The sequence below is a fragment of the Homo sapiens genome, chromosome 1 (genome assembly GCF_000001405.40).
Source record: "Homo sapiens chromosome 1, GRCh38.p14 Primary Assembly".
In the NCBI taxonomy this organism is placed as follows: domain Eukaryota; kingdom Metazoa; phylum Chordata; class Mammalia; order Primates; family Hominidae; genus Homo; species Homo sapiens.
The window spans coordinates 16,561,191-16,579,699 of NC_000001.11; the positions used below are offsets into that span (position 1 = coordinate 16,561,191).

The following is an 18,509-nucleotide window of genomic DNA, read 5'->3' on the forward strand; positions in this document are numbered from 1 at the left end:
CTAGGCGTTAACTTAGAGAGTCAAAAATCCCACCCATAACCCTGCCCCTAAACGCCAGGGCTAGGGAACACTGTGGCCCTCAGGTGATTTTGTTTCACTTGGTCTGGGAGCCACACAAGGGCAGAGGGAGCAGGAAACACTAAGCAAATCGAGGCCAGGACAGCAGGGAGGGCCTGTTCATGACAGAACACAGGTAAAACTATCCTCAGAAAGAGCATGTGGAGAAACACAGATCATGCCTGAGACCTGGTGGATTAGAGCACTGGCTACTGGGGAATTGAAAGGAAGGGGCTTCACCATGCAGAGGACCAGAGGTGCCAGTCTTGGAAACGCAGAATTGCTGGGAGATGGGGAGGCATGGACAAAGGAAGCATCCTCTGGAGACTCATGGTGAAGAGAACAAATGAAGTAACTGGCAGAAATTATAGGTCCTGGTAGAACAAAATAGAATCCCACAATGAGAACATACAGCATGTATGTCCCGCAAGGAAGACAATAGCTCCTAAAAATGCAAGAAAAATCATTTTGGGCAAACACCTTATATCCAGTAATGCGATCCATGTATCAAGACCACGAGGAAGATTATTAAACATGCTAAACTCAGCGAGACCTGATTCCCTCATGAGGACTCTGTTAAGGATGAGTACCACTCAGCAAGTGATGACTGTGACATTCACTTTTGAACAGCTCATGAGCATTAATATATTTAATTGTGGATCTAAACCAAAAACCAAGGTGTGGGCAAGATGACAACCACAGAATGTCACTGGCATATGTTTAGGTTCAAATACCATTATGAGAAGTGGCAGGTAAAGGAGGTAGGAAAAAGAAAACACATCATGTAACTGACTGTCATATGGAAATATTTGACGTTGAAAGTCATAATTTAAAATGTATAAACCAAATATTAGAAGTGTGTCTAGTTCAAAGGGGGGAAAACTATGAAACATTTTTAATCAATATCAAACATGAGCTACACAACCCTTCCTAAATGCCAGAGGCACACACAGACACACACACACACACTCTCACAAAGAATATAAATATCTAGAACCAAGAAATGGAGTAAATGCATTCTGCTACATATGGTAAACATAGCCTACAAGGTGGAAGAGATTAGAAAATAAACAGGGAAATGGAAATGTTTTTATTAATTCACATCAGTACCCACCAAAACCAATCAGCATAACAAAAGATTATAACACTGAATGTAAAAAACAATCCAACAGTCCAGAGTGATAGGCAAAAGCTTTTAATTGTATAGATTAAAATAACTTTGGACAAAAATTAAAACTCAGGCAGAGAATGTTTTTTTTTTCAACAACACACACTAGCAAAAACAAAGGCACAGTAAACATTGAGGCAGAAAGTTTCCAGCGTAGAGATATGAATATAATAATAGACACAGGCAGGGATGATTAATAAATGATAAAATGTTTACAGGATGATCATTGGAATACAGGACATTTCTAATTTTGAAAACCACCCTCCCAAATACTTCATTATAAGTAAGGTGTCTCTAAAAGGGACAGATCTCCTAGACCCCTCCTTAACCAAGTAACCAGTCCTGATATCATGATAATGCTGATGGACAAACTAGACCTTCTCTGCCCGCAGATGGGCTAAGGTTGGAAACTCACAGCATTGTCTCTGCAGTGTTCCCGGCAAAACGTTTAGGCTGAATTTAATCATGAAGACATTTTCAGACAACTTCAGAATGTAGATCATTGAGCCAGAGAGCTGACCTGTCCTCTATAAACAAGTCCATGTCACCACCATCAATGACAACAACAAAAAGATGAGGAAATATTTGGGGTTCAAAATAACTAAAGAAATGCAGCTATATTATCTTTTTACTTTTTTTGAACCCAAAATATCTCTTCTCCTTTTTGTTGTGTGATTTGTGGTGATATGGACTATGTGAAGGAGACAGGTCAGTTGTCCTGCTCAGTGTTCTACATTCTGCAGTTGTCTGGTAATTACCTCCTATGAAACTCAGGCTAAGCGTTTTCTGCAAGAACATGGCGTTGTTCATATTCTGCACCGGCAGAGTCCTGGGTGACATGCTGTCTCCTGCCAGCGGCTCCTGACTCCTGTTCTCTACAGGATGGAATCGAGAGGAGCAGGGCTAAGGCCTCCCAATGCTGTTTGTCCATCTAGCTGTGGTCTTCCTAAGTACTGACACCAATTGGAGGCTGAAGGACTGTGGCTTCTCTAACCAAAGGAGCCTAGCGGGTTAACAATTGTCAAGAGCAGTTGGTGGTTCTGAAATACAATCCTCAGCCAAGGATCCCTCCTGTGTTAAAGATGGATCAGCTAAAACAATTCAACACTGAAGATACAAAGAATGAGGTTAGGTTCATTGAAACCAGGGTAACACCTTTGGATGAGCTAAACACAAAGATGACACTGACCTTGAGCAGGTATAGAAGCTCAGAGACATGACTGCAAAATGAAATCCCTGAGGAACTTTGTAGCTACCCAGAGATAAGTGGTTCAAATTAAAATGTCTGACTGATCACTCCCGGCATGTGCTGCACAGTTATGTGAACGTGTCACACCTAACTTGGGTCCATTGTCTTCAGACTGAGCACAGGGTGCCACTGGCATGGTCTGAGAATAGGAATAGAGCCATGCCCACTGACCCATCCTATGTCTGGGCTTCCAAATGGAACTATAGTTTCATTCAAATCTTCACGTGCCTATAGGTCCTGCCTGCAGGAATGACATCTCTCGGCTTAGTAAGGGCTGCTTACTGTGGGAATATGACTCCCATCTGGAAGACCAGGTGGAGACTTGTTCCCATCAAAGTAAGAAACCTATTGTCCACGTCAAGGGCGAAGCTGATGTGCTGTTCCTCAAATGAGTAAAACACACTTCTGTAGTGCTGGAATGAGTCAGGTAGTTCAAAGTACATTGACGGAGTCGAATAACATCTATCCAGTGAGTCCTGCAAGACTTCAGGCTCTTCCACTTCCATCAGCATGCCGCTGAGCCTGGAAAAGCAGACAAAACTAAAGAAGCAGCCAGGGAAAATCAGACACCACAGAGCCCCACTAGATTTCAGAAGTAACGTAAGGAAGTGGTAAGAAAAGAAAAGGATAGATCCATTAGATCCATTAATGAGGTAAAAAAAAAAAATTATTGCCTTTATGTTGGGATAGAAAAGGGCCAGGTAGAAAACAATGAAAGAGAAAGACAGAGAGACAGAGACAGAGACAGAGACAGAGAGAAAGTGAGCTAGTGAATTGGCCAGGTGACATACTGGTAAGGGAGTAAAAGGACACTCTGAGTTAGTGCCCTCATGACACACAGCACACTGCGATCATGAAAAGAGTGAGCTCAATAGTTTTCCATAAAATATGCTCAAAATTCGATGCAGTGGCCATGAGAGTACAGCTTTTGAAGTATGGTCATCCTATGGTACGTTAGTAAATGATAAGGGGAGGAAGAAATGGAAACCTAAACATCTACTGCAATGAAAACCAACAGCAATGACAGTAGGAGTAATTCAGCCTTCGTTGAAAACATGAAATCAAACACACTCTGGTTTCCCTCAATCTGTTGCCTCCAGGTGTTAACACAGAATTAAGCATCCACAATTGCTGAAAGTTACCTGGGGCATGGTGGGTTTTGATCTTCTTCCCCTTCTTTTCTTCCCCTTCTCCTTCTTTTCTTCGTTGATCTTCTTCCCCTTCTTTTCTTCCCCTTCCCCTTCTTTTCAATTTCTGCAATAAATTCAGACATGGACAGACACATTAAGCTGATTCCCCTACACACATAACAATCCACTGTCTAACCCTCACACAGGGACCTCAGGCTCCTCAGCATAAGAATAGGAGACTGTGAGAGATATATTTCAGGAGGCCTGAAGGCTGGTCATGATAGAAATTCCTCGGTTTTTCTCCCAGAAACTGTGGGTAAAATGTCCCTATTCTAGTAGATCGTTATCCCAATATCATTTGTCCCGAGTTTGTGCAAACAGTTATGCCATATTTTTCCAATCAATTTAAAGCAAATACCCTCAAATGATTTCTAGGAGAAAAACTGCAATATTTAGCCCTGTCTCATCAAATACTCAGATTGTTCATGGTTGTGAGGACTTTAGACACTGAAATTAGAGTGAAAAAGGAAATCTACAAACCCTTGAGTCAAAATCATAGTTCTCTGAATTTGTCACATCTGCCCAGGTCCAATGTCATGAGAGTAGAATCAGAGTGCCACAGGCATGGCCTGAGACTAGGAAGAGAGCCATGCTCACTGACCCATCCCATGTCTGGGCTTCCAGTTAGAACTAGAGTTTCATTCAACCTACATGTGCCTATAGGTCCTCACTGCAGCAATGACATCTCTCAGCTCAGTAATGGCCACTTGGAGCAGGAATATGATCTTTATATGGAAGACTCAGTGGATCCTTATCACCTTCATAGAAAGGTACTCACCTCCCACGTCAAGAGAAAAGCCAACATGTTTTTCCTCCAATGCATAAAAGGAACTTCCATAGGGCAGGCAGGAGTCAGGCTGTTCAAGACAACTGGAAGGAGTTGAATAACATCTATCCAGTGAGTCCTGCAAGACTTCAGGCTCTACTGCCTCCAGCAGCTCCCTGCTGAGCCTGGAAAAGTAGGAAAAAGTAAAGAATAAGCCAGGGGGAATCAGAAACCACACAGCCCCAGCTACATTTCATGGCTAACATAAGGAACTGTTTAAACAGAAAAAGGACAGATCCATTAATGAGGTAATGAATTATTGCCTTTATGTTGGGATAGACCAGGGCCAGGTAGAAAAGAATGAAAGAGAAAGACAGGGAGAGGGAGAGGGAGAGAGAGACAGAGGAGAAAGTGAGCTCAGCGAATTGGCCGGGTGACACACTGACGAAGGGGTCAAAGGACACTCTGAGTTAGTGCCCTCGGGACACACAGAGAACAGTGATCATGAAAAGAGTGGGCTCAATAATTTTCCATAAACTTGCTTAAGATTCCATGCAGTTGCCATACAGCCTTTGAGGTATGGTCAACCTACAGTAAGTTAGTAAATGATAAGGGGAGGAAGAAATGGAAACCTAAACATCTACTGCAAGGAAAACCAACAGCAATGTCAGTAGGAGTAATTCAACCTTCGTTGAAAACATGAAATTGAACATACTCTTGTTTTCCCTGGACCTGGCATCTCCAGGTGTCAACACAGAATTAAGCATCCATAATTGCTCAAAGTTACCTGGGGCATGATGGGTCTTGGTCTTCTTCCACTTCTTGGTACTTTTCAATTTCTGCAATAAGTTCAGACATGGACAGACATATTAAGCTGGTTCTCCTACACACATAACAATCCACTGTCTAATCCTCACGCAGGGACTTCAGGCTCCTCAGCATGAGAATAGGACACTGTGAGAGATCTTCTTCAGGAGGCCTGAAGGCTGATCATGATAGAGATTCCTGGGTTTTTGTCCCAGAAACTGTGGGTAAAATTCCCTATTCTGGTAGATCGTTATCCCAAGATCATTTGTCCCAAGTTTGTGCAAATGGTTATGCCATATTTTTCCAATCGATTTAAAGCAAATGCCCCCAAATGGTTGCTGGGAGAAAAACTGCAATATTCAGCCCTGTCTCATCAAATACTCAGATTCTTCATGGTAGCGAGGATTTTAGATGCTGAAATTAGAGTGAAGGATGAAATCTACAAGATCTACAAAATTGAGACAAAATCAGAGTTGTGTGAATTTGTCACATCTGCCCAGATCCAACATCTTGAGAGTGGGATTAGGGTGCCACAGGCATGGCCTGAGACTAGGAAGAGAGCCCTGCTCACTGACCCATCCCTTGCCTGGGCTTCCAAGTGGAACTAGAGTTTCATTCAACCTACATGTGCCTATAGGTCCTCCCTGTGGCAATGACATCTCTCAGCTCAGTAAGGGCCATTTGCAGTAGGAATATGACCCTAACCAGAAGACTCAGTGGATCCTTATCACCTTCATAGAAAGGTACTCACCATCCATGTCAAGAGCCCAGCCAACACGCTGTTGCTCCAATATGTAAAAGGCACTTCTGTAGGGCTGGCATGAGTCAGTCAGTTCAAGATAACCTGAAGGAGTTGAATAACATCTATCCAGTGAGTCCTGCAAGACTTCAGGCCCTTTCTCATCCAGCAGCTCCCTGCTGAGCCTGGAACAGTGGGAAAAAGTAAAGAATAAGCCAGGGGGAATCAGAAACCACACAGCCCCAGCTAGATTTCATGGCTAACATAAGGAAGAGTTTGAAAAGAAAAAGGACAGATCCATTAATGAGGTAACAAATTATTGCCTTTATATTGGGATAGACTAGGGCCAGGTAGAAAAGGATGAAAGAGAAAGACACACACACACACACACACACACACACACACACACACACACACACAGAGTGAGCTCAGTGAATTGGCCAGGTGACACACTGATGAGGGAGTCAACGGTCATTCTCTATTTGTGCTCTCAGGACACACAGTGAACAGTGATCATGAAAAGCATGGCCTCAATAATTTTGCATAAAATGTGCTCAAGTTTCCCTGCAGCCACCATGAGAATACAGCTTTTGAGGTATGGTCAACCTTCACTAGGTTAGTAAATGATAAGGGTAGGAAGAAATGGAAACCTAAACATTTACTCTAATGAGAACCAAAAAGCAATGTAGTAGGCATAATTTAGACTTGTCTGACAAGACAAAATCATTATTTTCAGCATGTACTGTTTTCCCTGGACTTGGCATCTCCAGGTGTCAACATCAAATTAACTGTCCACAATTTCTCAGACTCACCTGGGACCTGTTGCCTCTTGGTCCTCCTTTTTCACTTGATCCCACCGATGTCCTGCAAATAAATTCAGATGGGGCCTCTTACATTAAGCAGTTCTTCCTTGCACACAGAAACATTCCTCTGTCCAATCCTAACACAGGTACATCAGTCTGGTCAGTGTGAGAACAGGAGACTTTGAGAGAAATATTCCAGCAGGCCTGAGGTCAAGTCTTGAGAAAACTGGCTTGGGTTCTTTCATGAGCCTTGGGCAAAATTACCCTGTTTTGGAATGTTATCTTCCCTATGTGCTCTGTCCTAGGTTTGTGTACACAAATGAGCAACTTTTTCCCCAATAAATTGTAGGCAAATAGTTCTAACACCTCATAGGAGAGATACTTCAATATTAAGCTTTCTCTCATCAAATACCCAGAATTTGATAGTTTATGAGATTGTGGACACAGAGATTTGATGAAGGGGTGCAATGTACCAGCTCTTGAGTCAAAATGAAACTTGGTTCTACACAGAAGCATCAGCTATTATGGCTTTTGTGGGTGAAAAGTCAGCCATTTATCTAGAAAACATACCAGGAACATGACGGACAGATGAGCTAAAGCAAGCGAACTTAGAAGACACAGAAAATGGGAATAAATTCAGTGAAACCTGGGCCACATCTTTCACTGAGAGGTAGACAAGGGTGACACTTGCCTTGGGCAGGTAAAGAACCACACAGACATGCTTTGGGAACAAAACTCATAAGGAATTTTGTAGCTGGCAAGAGACATTTAATTCAGATGAGCTGATCTGACAGACAACTCCTGGTCATGTGCTGCATAGTTTGGTGTGAGCTTGCCACACCTGCCTTGAGTTCAATGTCGTGACAGTCAGTCCAGGTTGGCACGGGCATGGCCTGAGACTAGGAAGAGAGCAAAGCTCACTCACCCACCCCATGCCTGTGCTTCAGACTCGACTCCAGAGTGATTGAAATCTACATTGATATATAGGTTCAGCCCACAGTGATGGCAAATCTCAGCCCAACAAGGGGCACAAGGCCCAAAGATTATGGGGTCTACCTGGGCCATGAACTGGAGCTTTATCACCTTCACAATGGAGTACTCACCGCCTATGTCAACAGCCATGCAGACTTGCTGTTCCTCTAATGAGTGAAATGTGCCGCTGTAAGACTTGTACGAGGCCAACATTTCAGGAGGAATTGAGAGAGTCGAATAACCTTCATCCCAGGACTCCTGGGGGACTTCCTCCTCTTCAGACTCCTGCAGATTCCTGATGAGCCAGGCAGGACAGGGATGATAGAAGATTTAACCAACAGACATTAGACAACAAAACCTCCCAGATGATCTGATGGGAGACAGAATGGAGTGGTCACAGAAACCAAAGGCATTTTTCCTTCAAGAGAAATAAAACTAGCCTTCTAAATACAGGGTGGAGGGTGACTGCTCTGGGGACAGAGCAAAAATGGGCAGCATGTGCTCAGTACATTTGCCACAGATGAGCCAACTCAGGGCACCCAGACTCTCCCTGTAAACTACCATCATGACTTGCAGCACAGAGAACTGACACAGGGCTTCAACTACTTTGCATAAATTGGGTTGAATTTTACATGCAGCATTCAAGTGAAGAGAGTTCTTGACACAGTGCAGACACAGATCTTGTGTATTAAGGGCCCCATTTTCCCAATATTTTGATATAATATATTTACCTTTTCAATTTCTTTTCTTGCAAAAATACTAGCCAACATACTACCAACAGATAGGAAGAAAGCATATATACATCTCTCCCTGGATTTAAACACATGGGAGAGAATAGGCAACACCAAGAAATCCCTGTTTGAGGGTCTGGAGTGGACTTCCAGCAAACTCCAACAGACCTGAAGCTGAGGGACCTGATTGTTAGAAGGAAAACTAACACACAGAAAGGAATAGCATCAACATCAACAAAAAAGACATCCATCCCAAAACCCCATCTGTAGGTCGCCATCATCAAAGACCAAGGGTAGATAAAACCACAAAGGTGGGGAGAAACCAGAGCACAAAAGCTGAAAATTCCAAAAACCTGACATCCCTTCTCCTCCAAAGGATCACAGCTCCTCGCCAGCAATGGAACAAAGCAGGATGGAGAATGACTTTGATGAGCTGACAGAAGTAGGCTTCAGAAAGTCGGTAATAACAAACTTCTCTGAGCTAAAGGAGGATGTGCGAACTCATCGCAAGGAAGCTAAAAACCTTGAAAAAAGATTAGACGAATGGCCAACCAGAATGAACAGTGTAGAGAAGACCTTAAATGACCTGATGGAGCTGAAAACCATGGCACGAGAACTACGTGATGCATGCACAAGCTTCAGTAGTCAATTCGATCAAGTGCAAGAAACGGTATCAGTGATTCAAGATCAAATTAGTGAAATGAAGCGAGAAGAGAAGTTTAGAGAAAAAAGAGTAAAAAGAAATGAACAAGCCTCCAATAAATATGGGACTATGTGGAAAGACCAAATCTACGTTTGATTGGTGCACTGAAAGTGACGGGGAGAATGGAACCAAGCTGGGAAACATTCTTCAGGATATTATCCAGGAGGACTTCCCCAACCTAGCAAGGAAGGCCAACATTCAAATTCAGGAAACACAGAGAACACCATAAAGATACTCCTCGAGAAGAGCAACCCCAAAACACATAATTGTCAGATTCACCAAGGTTGAAATGAAGGAAAAAATGCTAAGTGCAGCCAGAGAGAAAGGTCGGATTACCCACAAAGGGAAGCCCATCAGACTAGCAGCAGATCTCTTGGCACAAACCCTACAAGCCAGAAGAGAGTGGGAGCAATATTCAACATTCTTTTTTTTTTCCATATGTATAGTTTTCCTTTATTATTTTTTGTGTGTATGTATATATATGTATATATATTTTTCAATACTTTAAGTCTTAGGGTACATGTGCACAACGTGCAGGTTAGTTACATATGTATACATGTCCACATTGGTGTGCTTCACCCATTAACTCATCATTTAACATTAGGTATATCTCCTAATGCTACCCCTCCTCCCTCCCCCCACCCTACAACAGGCCCCAGTGTGTGATGTTCCCCTTCCTGTGTCCATGTGTTCTCATTGTTCAATTCCCACCTGTGAGTAAGAACATGCGGTATTTCGTTTTTTGTCCTTGCGATAGTTTGCTGAGAATGATGGTTTCCAGCTTCATCCATGCCCCTACAAAGGACATGAACTCATCATTTTTTATAGCTGCATAGTATTCCATGTTGTATATGTGCCACATTTTCTTAATCCAGTCTATCATTGCTGGATATTTGGCTTGGTTCCAAGTCTTTGCTATTGTGAATAGTGCCACAATAAACATATGTGTGCATGTGTCTTTACAACAGCATGATTTATAATCCTTTGGGTATACACCCAGTAATGGGATGGCTGGGTCAAATGGTATTTCTAGTTCTAGATCCCTGAGGAATTGCCACACTGTCTTCCACAATCGTTGAACTAGTTTACACTCCCACCAACAGTGTAAAAGTGTTCCTATTTCTCCACATCCTCTCCAGCATCTTCAACATTCTTAAAGAAAAGAATTTTCAACCCAGAATTTCATATCCAGCCAAACAAAGCTTCATAAGTGAAGGAGAAATAAATCCTTTACAGAGAAGCAAATGCTGAGAGATTTTGTCACCACCAGGCCTGCCTTACAAGAGCTCCTAAAGGAAGCACTAAACATGGAAAGGAACAACCGGTACCAGCCACTGCAAAAACATGCCAAACTGTAAAGACCATTGACGCTAGGAAGAAACTGCATCAACTAACGGGCGAAATAACCAGCTAACATCATAACGACAGGCTCAAATTCACACATAACAATATTAACCTTAAATGTAAATGGGCTAAATGCCCCAGTTAAAAAACACAGAATGGCAAATTGGACAAAGAGTCAAGACCCATCAGTGTGCTGTACTCAGGAAACCCATCTCACATGCAGAGACACACATAGGCTCAAAATAAAGGGATGGAGGAAGATCTACCAAGCAAATGGAAAGCAAAAAAATGCAGGGGTTGCAATCCTAGTCTCTGATAAAACAGACTTTAAACCAACAAAGATCAAAAGAGACAAAGAAGGCCACTACATAATGGTAAAGGGATCAATTCAACAAGAAGAGTTAACTATCCTAAATATATATGCACCCTATACGGGAGCACCCAGATTCATAAAGCAAGTCCTGAGAGACCTACAAAGAGATTTAGACTCCACACAATCATAATGGGAGACTTTAACACCCCACTGTCAATATTAGACAGATCAATGAGACAGAAGCTTTACAAGGATATCCAGGACTTGAACTCAGCTCTCCACCAAGCAGACCTAAAAGACATCTACAGAACTCTCCACCCCAAATCAACAGAATATACATTCTTCTCAGCACCACATCACACTTATTCCAAAATTGACCACATAGTTGGAGGTAAAGCACTCGTCAGCAAATGTAAAAGAATGGAAACCACAACAAACTGTCAGACCACAGTGCAATCAAATTAGAACTCAGGATTAAGAAACTCACTCAAAACCGCACAACTACATGGAAACTGAACAACCTGCTCCTGAATGACTACTGGGAAAATAACAAAATGAAGGCAGAAATAAAGATGTTCTTTGAAACCAATGAGAACAAAGACACAACATACCAGAATCTCTGGGACACATTTAAAGCAATGTGTAGAGGGAAAATTATAGCACTAAATGCCCACAAGAGAAAGCAGAAAAGATCTAAAATTGACACCCTAACATCACAATTAAAATAACTAGAGAAGCAAAGCAAACAAATTCAAAAGCTAGCAGAAGACAAGAAGTAACTAAGATCAGAGCAGAACTAAAGGAGATAGACACACAAAAAACCCTTCAAAAAATCAATGAATCCAGGGCTGGTTTTTTGAAAAGATCAACAAGAAAACCCTGTTTGGCTAGTTCACCTGGCTCATCTGATGGCAAGTTCCTATCTTGAGAGGACTATGAAATTAAAACCAATACAAGTGCCACAAATAACATACAACATTGTAAATCAGCACAATTTGTAGCTGGGTGAATGGAAGAAATAGTTCTATTCATCACTTCCTCATTTTCCCTAAATCTACAATCTCCAGATGTCACTACTGAATTAACAGCCAACAATTCCACAACATTACCTGGGAGACACTGGCCCTTTTTCTTCCTCTTCCTCATCATCACTTTCATTTTCTGTAAATAAATTCAGAGAAGCAGGTCACATTAAGCAATTCATACTTCACATATGACCAAATCACTGTCCAGTCATAGCACAAGGACATAACTATTCTCAGTGCAAGAATAAGGATTCTGACAGGAATATTCTAGGGTGCCCTAGATTAACTTTGGTGAGAATTAGATGACCCTGCTTTCCAGACCCACAGGCCAAAATCTCCCTCTACGTGTAGACCATAATGCCATATTCCCTGCCTGAGTCAAAGTTAAACAAAATTTTTTCCCCAAAAAAATCTCCAAAAATTGGTCCATTTTCTAAGAGTGTTGCTGCAATACGGACTTATATCACCAGATAACATGGACATTAAATGTTTAGAGGCATCTATACATGAAACACACATGATAGATAAATTTGAACAACTCTTGCTTTAAAAAGAATCTGTGATTTGGGAGGCCAAGACAGGTGAATCATTTGAGGTCATGAGTTCAGGACTACCCTGGCCAATATGGGGAAACCCTGTCTCTACTAAAAATACAAAAATTAGCCAGATGTGATGTTGTGCACCTGTGGTCCCAGCAACTCAGGAGGCTGAGGCAGGAGAATCACTTGAATCTGGGAGGCAGAGGTTGCACCAAGCCAAGATGGTGCAACTGCACTCTAGCCTGGGTGACAGAGCAAGACTCCATCGCAAAAAAAAAAAAAAAAAAAAAAAAAAAAAAAATCCACGATGCTACAAAGAAACATTGGATCAGCCATTGCATTGACAGGGTGGAGAACCAGGGTCCAGCCTTGCTTTATGGAAATATATCAGCAAAGTAAAGAAGAAAAGTTTCCGTCCTGATTTCAGGGTGACTGTGCAGCTAAGCAAGCTGACTTAAAGGAGATCCGGATGAAAGCTGAGAGCAGTGAAGCCTGGGGAACAATATTTCCAAATACAAAGGCAAGGCTGCCAGCTTCCTGAAACAGGCATAGAAACTCCATGGACATTGTTCAGGGACAGATGACTTAATCACAGATGACAAGAGATACTGAATCGAAGCTAGGAGGCCTGACAGATACTGCCTGTGCACCTCCTGCACTCAGGTGACTATGAGATTGTCACACTTGCCTGGGGTCGAGTAACTTGATACTGGGGACTGGCAGACAAAGGCATGACATTAGCTGAGAAGGACAAAAAAACTCCCTGATATCTGTTTAGAAACCCATCATAGTTTTTTATTCAAATGAATTTGTGTTTATAGAGCCTGTCTTCAGAGTTTATCTTCCTCAGCCTAGAGAGAGGTATGAGACACAAGGAAAACAGAGGCTACCTGGGATAATGTGTACAGCATCCTCCCATTCAACATGAGAGGATGAGCCAATGAGAGTTGAGTCGACTTTGTCTTCCTCAAATGTGATTTTGGTTTTCCTATGTGGCTGGTTGGAGTCATAAGGGCCATGGCTATTTGAACAAGTGATGGCACATTCCTCCAGTGAGTCCTCAGGGACTTCCTTTTCTTCAGCCTTCGGCATCTCCCTGATGAGCCAGGTGGGACAGAGATGACAGAAGATTAAACACAGAGGGATTGGACCCCAGGGAGTCCTAGCTGGTTTTGACAGGCGGCATTAAGAGAGTGGTCCCAGAAAGCAAAATGGAGGTTCCCTTTAAGGGGGAACATGCAATCCTGTTCTCTCTGCAACAGAGCATGGCTGCCATGGGAACCAGAGAGGAAGAGAGCAGCTGGTGTTCATTGCAGTGGACAGATAGGAGCTGAGGAGGATGAAGACTCAGCTATCCCTGTATGGTGCAGACATGACACTCGGCACACATAGAGAAACATGACAGCTGCCGCACCCTGTGTCTAAGCTGGGTTATATTTCACATACTGTGGCCAAGCAAATGCGGGTTTTTGGCCCATCATAGATGCCAGAGAGGGTGTACCTCCTAGATATTCTTCATATGTTACCATCCATTACTTGTTCCTGAGTATTCAGTGTTACCTGGGGGCAGACGATTTCTGCACTTTCTCAGCCACCTCAACTTGAACATCTTCATCGTCATCGTTGTCATTTTCTGTAAATACAGAAGTGTTCGTTCAGATATTTCCCACTTCACAGTCTGCAAGCACAGTCAGCCCAATGTGCAACAGAGACATGAACATCTAGGCATGGGTCACCGTTCAACTGAAAACTCTCATGTTTTATCTTTAACAGAATGCCCTGGCATGGTTTCCTGATCCATCAGGCAATGCATTTCTGATCTGGAGGGCCACCATCAAGATGTGGCCAAATATTGAAAAGACCTTTTGCTTCCCATATCACTGGAGGCTTGTGCAGCCTCTCTCTGGACTTTGGCAGCTGTCGCCCCCATCCTGCCAGATCTGATTCCCAGGCACAGGCTTGGTGTCCTGTCACAGTTTGCATTTCAAACCTAATTCTTTCTCTTAGAAGCAGACAAACTTATCCCACAGTCCTCTATGCATCAGAAGATTTCAAGCCTCCAAGTGGCTTCTGCTGTGTTATTCAGGGACATTCTATCCATGGGGAGTGCTCCAGTCTGAAGCACTTCCTACCACGAAACGCCACCACATAAAGTGCCTTCTCCAACATCACACGGCGAGGGGCTTCATCTCATTTTGGAAAGCAGTTTTAAGTGTTCCCACATTTGAATGCTTCAGACCCTTGCAAGAGACAATTTGCCATGGAGAGAGAGAAACTCAGGAAAGACAAGTCATTCAGTCACTGACAGTTACTAAGAACATTGCCGAAAAGACACCCTGGGAACCTTCATTCTTAGTCCAGAGCTCTTTTCACTCTAACAAGCCTGCTCCTATCGCAGCCTCCTTCCTGTCCTTTAAAACTAGATAGATGCTGCCTCTTACTCCAAAGACAACCTTCCATCAAGGGAGGAGGGACAATTGCAATACTGTGACCTCCAACCCCATGGGTTTCCCAACTCCGTTCTTACCCAGGAAGTCCTGGTCATGTCATGGCCACATAAGCTTAGTGGCAAAAAACACCATTGATACAACTGTCATTGTGAAAGTATGGAGGTCTGGAGTCTCTCATAAGCCTGGGGTTTTGGGTCATCAGGGCCTATGGCCACCTTACCTGGGCTGAGCTTTTGGACAAGGTGCTGTGCCAGTCTACACCCCTCAGCCAGCTGTTCTTGGAGGTCCTGCCCCTGGGACTTGTCTGGCTCATCCGGAGTGAGGAGGGCCTGGAGATGCTGATTCAATGAGCAGGAGGCATCTCTCCCTTCCCGTAACTTCTCCCTTAACTGGGTCAGCTCTCGTTCCTGAGAGTGAACCAGGACTTTATATTGCCTAAGGTGAGACGGTAGAGAAAATTTAAGAGTGGAAAGGGTTGAGTGATCCGCTCAAATATTGCAACAGAGATTTCTGAGACAATGTCCTCAAGGAGACCTCCAAGCAGAAGGTCAGCACATGTTGGAAGGAATGTCTGTGGCTAAGAGAAAGAATAGAAAATGGTTTACAGGTTTCCTCTGTATCAGAGAGGGCTCCTGCAAGATCCTCGATGATGTTCCATTCATCTTTCCCTTCTGTAAACAAAAGTAGGTGTCTTCCTAATTCCATTTCAAAAAGACATCCTTTCAGTCCCTCACTCTGGCCATGGACATTTCCATGTGAAAATACACATAGTGCATCTTGCGGCCACTAGATACAAAGCCATGTACAGAAATGAGGCCAGGTGCAGATGGGGCGAATTGAAAAGATGAAAGAAGAAAAGAATGACAGGGTCGAGAAGGCAACATTGATTGAGTGAAAGAATGAGAAGACGCAGTCAGTCAGAAGGTGATTCTCACTAAGGGTAAGTGGGGTGGTGATGGCACACCATTTTGAGTATACTGAATGCTGCTGTGTGGTTCACACTCCTTTGGTTAATTTTGTGTTATGTAAATTTCACATCAACAATTACTTGTTTGAAAAAGAGAAAACAAGGCTCTGAGAAACAACTGCAACCCATAAATTTTTATTATCCTTCTTCTCTGCTTGATAAATACTTGTGTGTTGCGAGCCTGCCATGGCAATTCCTGCCCTTCCCCTGGCCCAGCTTAGTTCTTAAGTCTCCCCACTGAGCTGCTGTACTTCAGAGATTTACACACCTGCCCCCCTGCCTGCCCCCATGGGGTCCCCTCACCTGAGCTCCTCAGCTTGCTTGAGCTGCTCTGCAAGCTTCTCCTCCTTGAACTGTCGCTCATTCCTCAGCATAGATTTTATGAGGTCTTTGCACTCTTCATTTTCTGAGAAAAGACAGACACGCCTGCCTCAGTGGAAGGCTGGACATGCTGCTGTGGTCATTGCCTACAGGGCAGGAGCCAGGTCCATCCCAAGGACAAAACTCTCCCCAGTACCAGGGTCTAGACAGGGATTTCCACATCTTTACTCTTCAGTCTCCTGACTTTCTGGCATCTGATCCTCCAAAATTTAGAGATGAAGAGAACCTCAATGGCACATCAAGGAAGTTGACAAGATGATTCAACCACAACGAAGTGGAGTCAGAATTCACAGCCCCTGAGGTCTGACTCTGAATGCAGGGCCACTTTCCCAAGACTTGCAGCCTCTCCTCTAAAACACTGCACTGGGGCATGAAGTAGTGATTTCTTGTACAGTCGGGAAGGCCCCTAGGACTATGGGACTGATGGTTTCCCTTTTACTGGGAATTTCAAGGACAAGTATGCAAAAGATTTTAAAAATCTTTGATTTTTAAATCATATCTTCAGTTATGATTTTAAGAATCATATCTGAAGCATAAAGTGTGACACATAACACCATAAGGCCATGAAGGAAATATGCCCAAATGTTAATAAAGTTTGTGTTAATTTAGAAACAGCAGAATGAAGAACTAATAGATAGTGTTTACTGTGTGCTAATAAATGTTCTAGGAGATTGACAAGAAATAGCTCATGTAATTCACTGCAGCAATTTACAGAGGTAGGTATTATTGTAGTACCCTCTGAACAGGTGAGGAAACAGGGACAGAAAAGACAAGCAACTTGGATGGAGCCCAGGAGACAGGCCCACGGTCTCTGCTCTGTACACTGCACTGCTATCTCCACACATTCTCGGGTGCGATCTTTCTTCCTCTTTAGGAACAAGACTCTGTGCCCCAGGAAGCAGGACTTCACTCTCACCAAGCTACATTCTGCTTCTTATTCTTATTTTTATTTATCATTATTAGTATTATTTTTTTAACAGTCTTGCCCTGTCGCCCAGGCTGGAGTGCAATGGCAAAATCTTGGCTCACTGCAACCTCAGCCTCCTGGGTTCAAAGGATTCTCCTGCCTCAGCCTCCTGAGCAGGGGTGATTACAGTCACCTGCCACCATGCCCATCTACTTTTTGTATTTTTAGTGGAGATGGGGTTTCTCCATGTTTCCCAGGCTGGTCTCAAACTCCTGACCTCGTGCTCTACCCGCCTCAGCCTCCCAAAGGGCTGGGATTACAGGAGTGAGCCACCATGCACAGCCCCTACTCCCTGCTCTTGATGCTGTCACTTATAGATAGCACAGGTTCTATTAGGAGCAGACTCCTCTTGAAGCCCCTCAGAGCAGGTACTGGCTACTATCACCAAGTTTCCCTCAGAGTCACTAGAACAGAGCTTTGCATATTGGGCCTCAACAGAAACTTGAACTGAATAAAAGTTCACTAGTCTCAGACATTTAGAACAACAGACTAGATGTTATTTGTCTGCAGGATCTTACATGGTACAGAGAGGATTCTTGAAAACATGATTGAGCCTCTTGGAGAAAACAGGTCATTCTGTGCCTGTGTCAGAAATCAATAAATGGCAGTTTAACTCTAGTCCCACCCCCACCTGATTGCAAACATGGAAAGTTGCTAAATATTTTGGGACCTCTGTCTTCCAACTTTAACAAAATGTTAAAATACCCATTTCTGTTTTCCTAGAAGTATGGGGAGGATGACATTATTTTAGATGGAGAGAGCACTTAGTTTCTCAGAGAGAAGACAGGACTTCGTTCATCACTTTCGTGATGGTGAGCCTATAGATCTTACTGTATTTGTTCTGCTGGTTGGCCAGGAAGCAGGCCAGTTGAGTTACAAAACATTTCTCTTTGAGGTTTCTGAACTGCTGTTTCTTCTCTGCCAGCTGGGGATGCAATTTCTCGTTGATTTCTAGAATGTTCATCTCTGCCTTCTCGCTGGACAAAGGGCCGGCTGATACCACCATGCTGACGTTTGTGGCAGAAGAGGTGGGGCCAGGGACTGGGGAGAAGAAAGGCAAACACATGATGGGTTAAAAACTGGTGAAATCAAATAGGTTTAATCACACTGAGGGATGTCAGCGGCAGCCTTGTCTACTTATTTGAAGATGATGTTTCCCTGGTTTCACTCTTGTCATCTCCAGTCTTGATCTCCTTTAAGTCAACTTATCTTAGCTATGCAGTCACCTTGAAACCAGGACATAAACACTTCTACACTTTTCTTGCTTATAAGTTTCTATAAAGCAAGGCTTGGCCCTGAGATTTTTACCCCATGAGTGGCCAATGTTTCTGTGTAGCA

The 18,509-nt window shown here is 43.2% G+C and overlaps 1 protein-coding gene across 33 annotated transcripts in view, besides 4 other annotated features; it reads right to left on the reverse strand.

The window, feature by feature from the left end:
• Positions 1 to 1,232: 1,232 nt before the first annotated feature.
• Positions 1,233 to 18,509, reverse strand: part of NBPF1 (NBPF member 1) — a gene marked incomplete in the record, with an annotated part of 51,142 nt that continues 33,865 nt past the window's right edge. For 11 of the 33 annotated variants that reach the window (NM_001405693.2, NM_001405684.2, NM_001405683.2 and 8 more), the window contains 12 exon segments: positions 1,233 to 2,996; positions 3,617 to 3,728; positions 4,443 to 4,617; positions 5,990 to 6,161; positions 6,789 to 6,840; positions 7,883 to 8,046; positions 11,952 to 12,003; positions 13,297 to 13,502; positions 13,967 to 14,039; positions 15,077 to 15,291; positions 16,127 to 16,229; positions 18,003 to 18,212. In NM_001405693.2, coding sequence (NP_001392622.1) covers positions 2,753 to 2,996; positions 3,617 to 3,728; positions 4,443 to 4,617; positions 5,990 to 6,161; positions 6,789 to 6,840; positions 7,883 to 8,046; positions 11,952 to 12,003; positions 13,297 to 13,502; positions 13,967 to 14,039; positions 15,077 to 15,291; positions 16,127 to 16,229; positions 18,003 to 18,212 — 1,778 coding nt within the window. 33 annotated transcript variants of the gene reach the window in all.
• Positions 3,086 to 3,963: an enhancer, noted in NCBI's record as "OCT4-NANOG-H3K27ac-H3K4me1 hESC enhancer chr1:16890771-16891648 (GRCh37/hg19 assembly coordinates)". NCBI's record gives its function as "activates a minimal SCP1, AML or CMV promoter by ChIP-STARR-seq in naive H9 embryonic stem cells {active_cell/tissue: H9 hESC(naive)}" and the evidence as "EXISTENCE:reporter gene assay evidence [ECO:0000049][PMID:30033119]".
• Positions 4,842 to 5,719: an enhancer, noted in NCBI's record as "OCT4-NANOG-H3K27ac-H3K4me1 hESC enhancer chr1:16892527-16893404 (GRCh37/hg19 assembly coordinates)". NCBI's record gives its function as "activates a minimal SCP1, AML or CMV promoter by ChIP-STARR-seq in naive H9 embryonic stem cells {active_cell/tissue: H9 hESC(naive)}" and the evidence as "EXISTENCE:reporter gene assay evidence [ECO:0000049][PMID:30033119]".
• Positions 5,720 to 6,597: an enhancer, noted in NCBI's record as "OCT4-H3K27ac hESC enhancer chr1:16893405-16894282 (GRCh37/hg19 assembly coordinates)". NCBI's record gives its function as "activates a minimal SCP1, AML or CMV promoter by ChIP-STARR-seq in primed H9 embryonic stem cells {active_cell/tissue: H9 hESC(primed)}" and the evidence as "EXISTENCE:reporter gene assay evidence [ECO:0000049][PMID:30033119]".
• Positions 15,084 to 15,584: an enhancer, noted in NCBI's record as "H3K27ac hESC enhancer chr1:16902769-16903269 (GRCh37/hg19 assembly coordinates)". NCBI's record gives its function as "activates a minimal SCP1, AML or CMV promoter by ChIP-STARR-seq in naive H9 embryonic stem cells {active_cell/tissue: H9 hESC(naive)}" and the evidence as "EXISTENCE:reporter gene assay evidence [ECO:0000049][PMID:30033119]".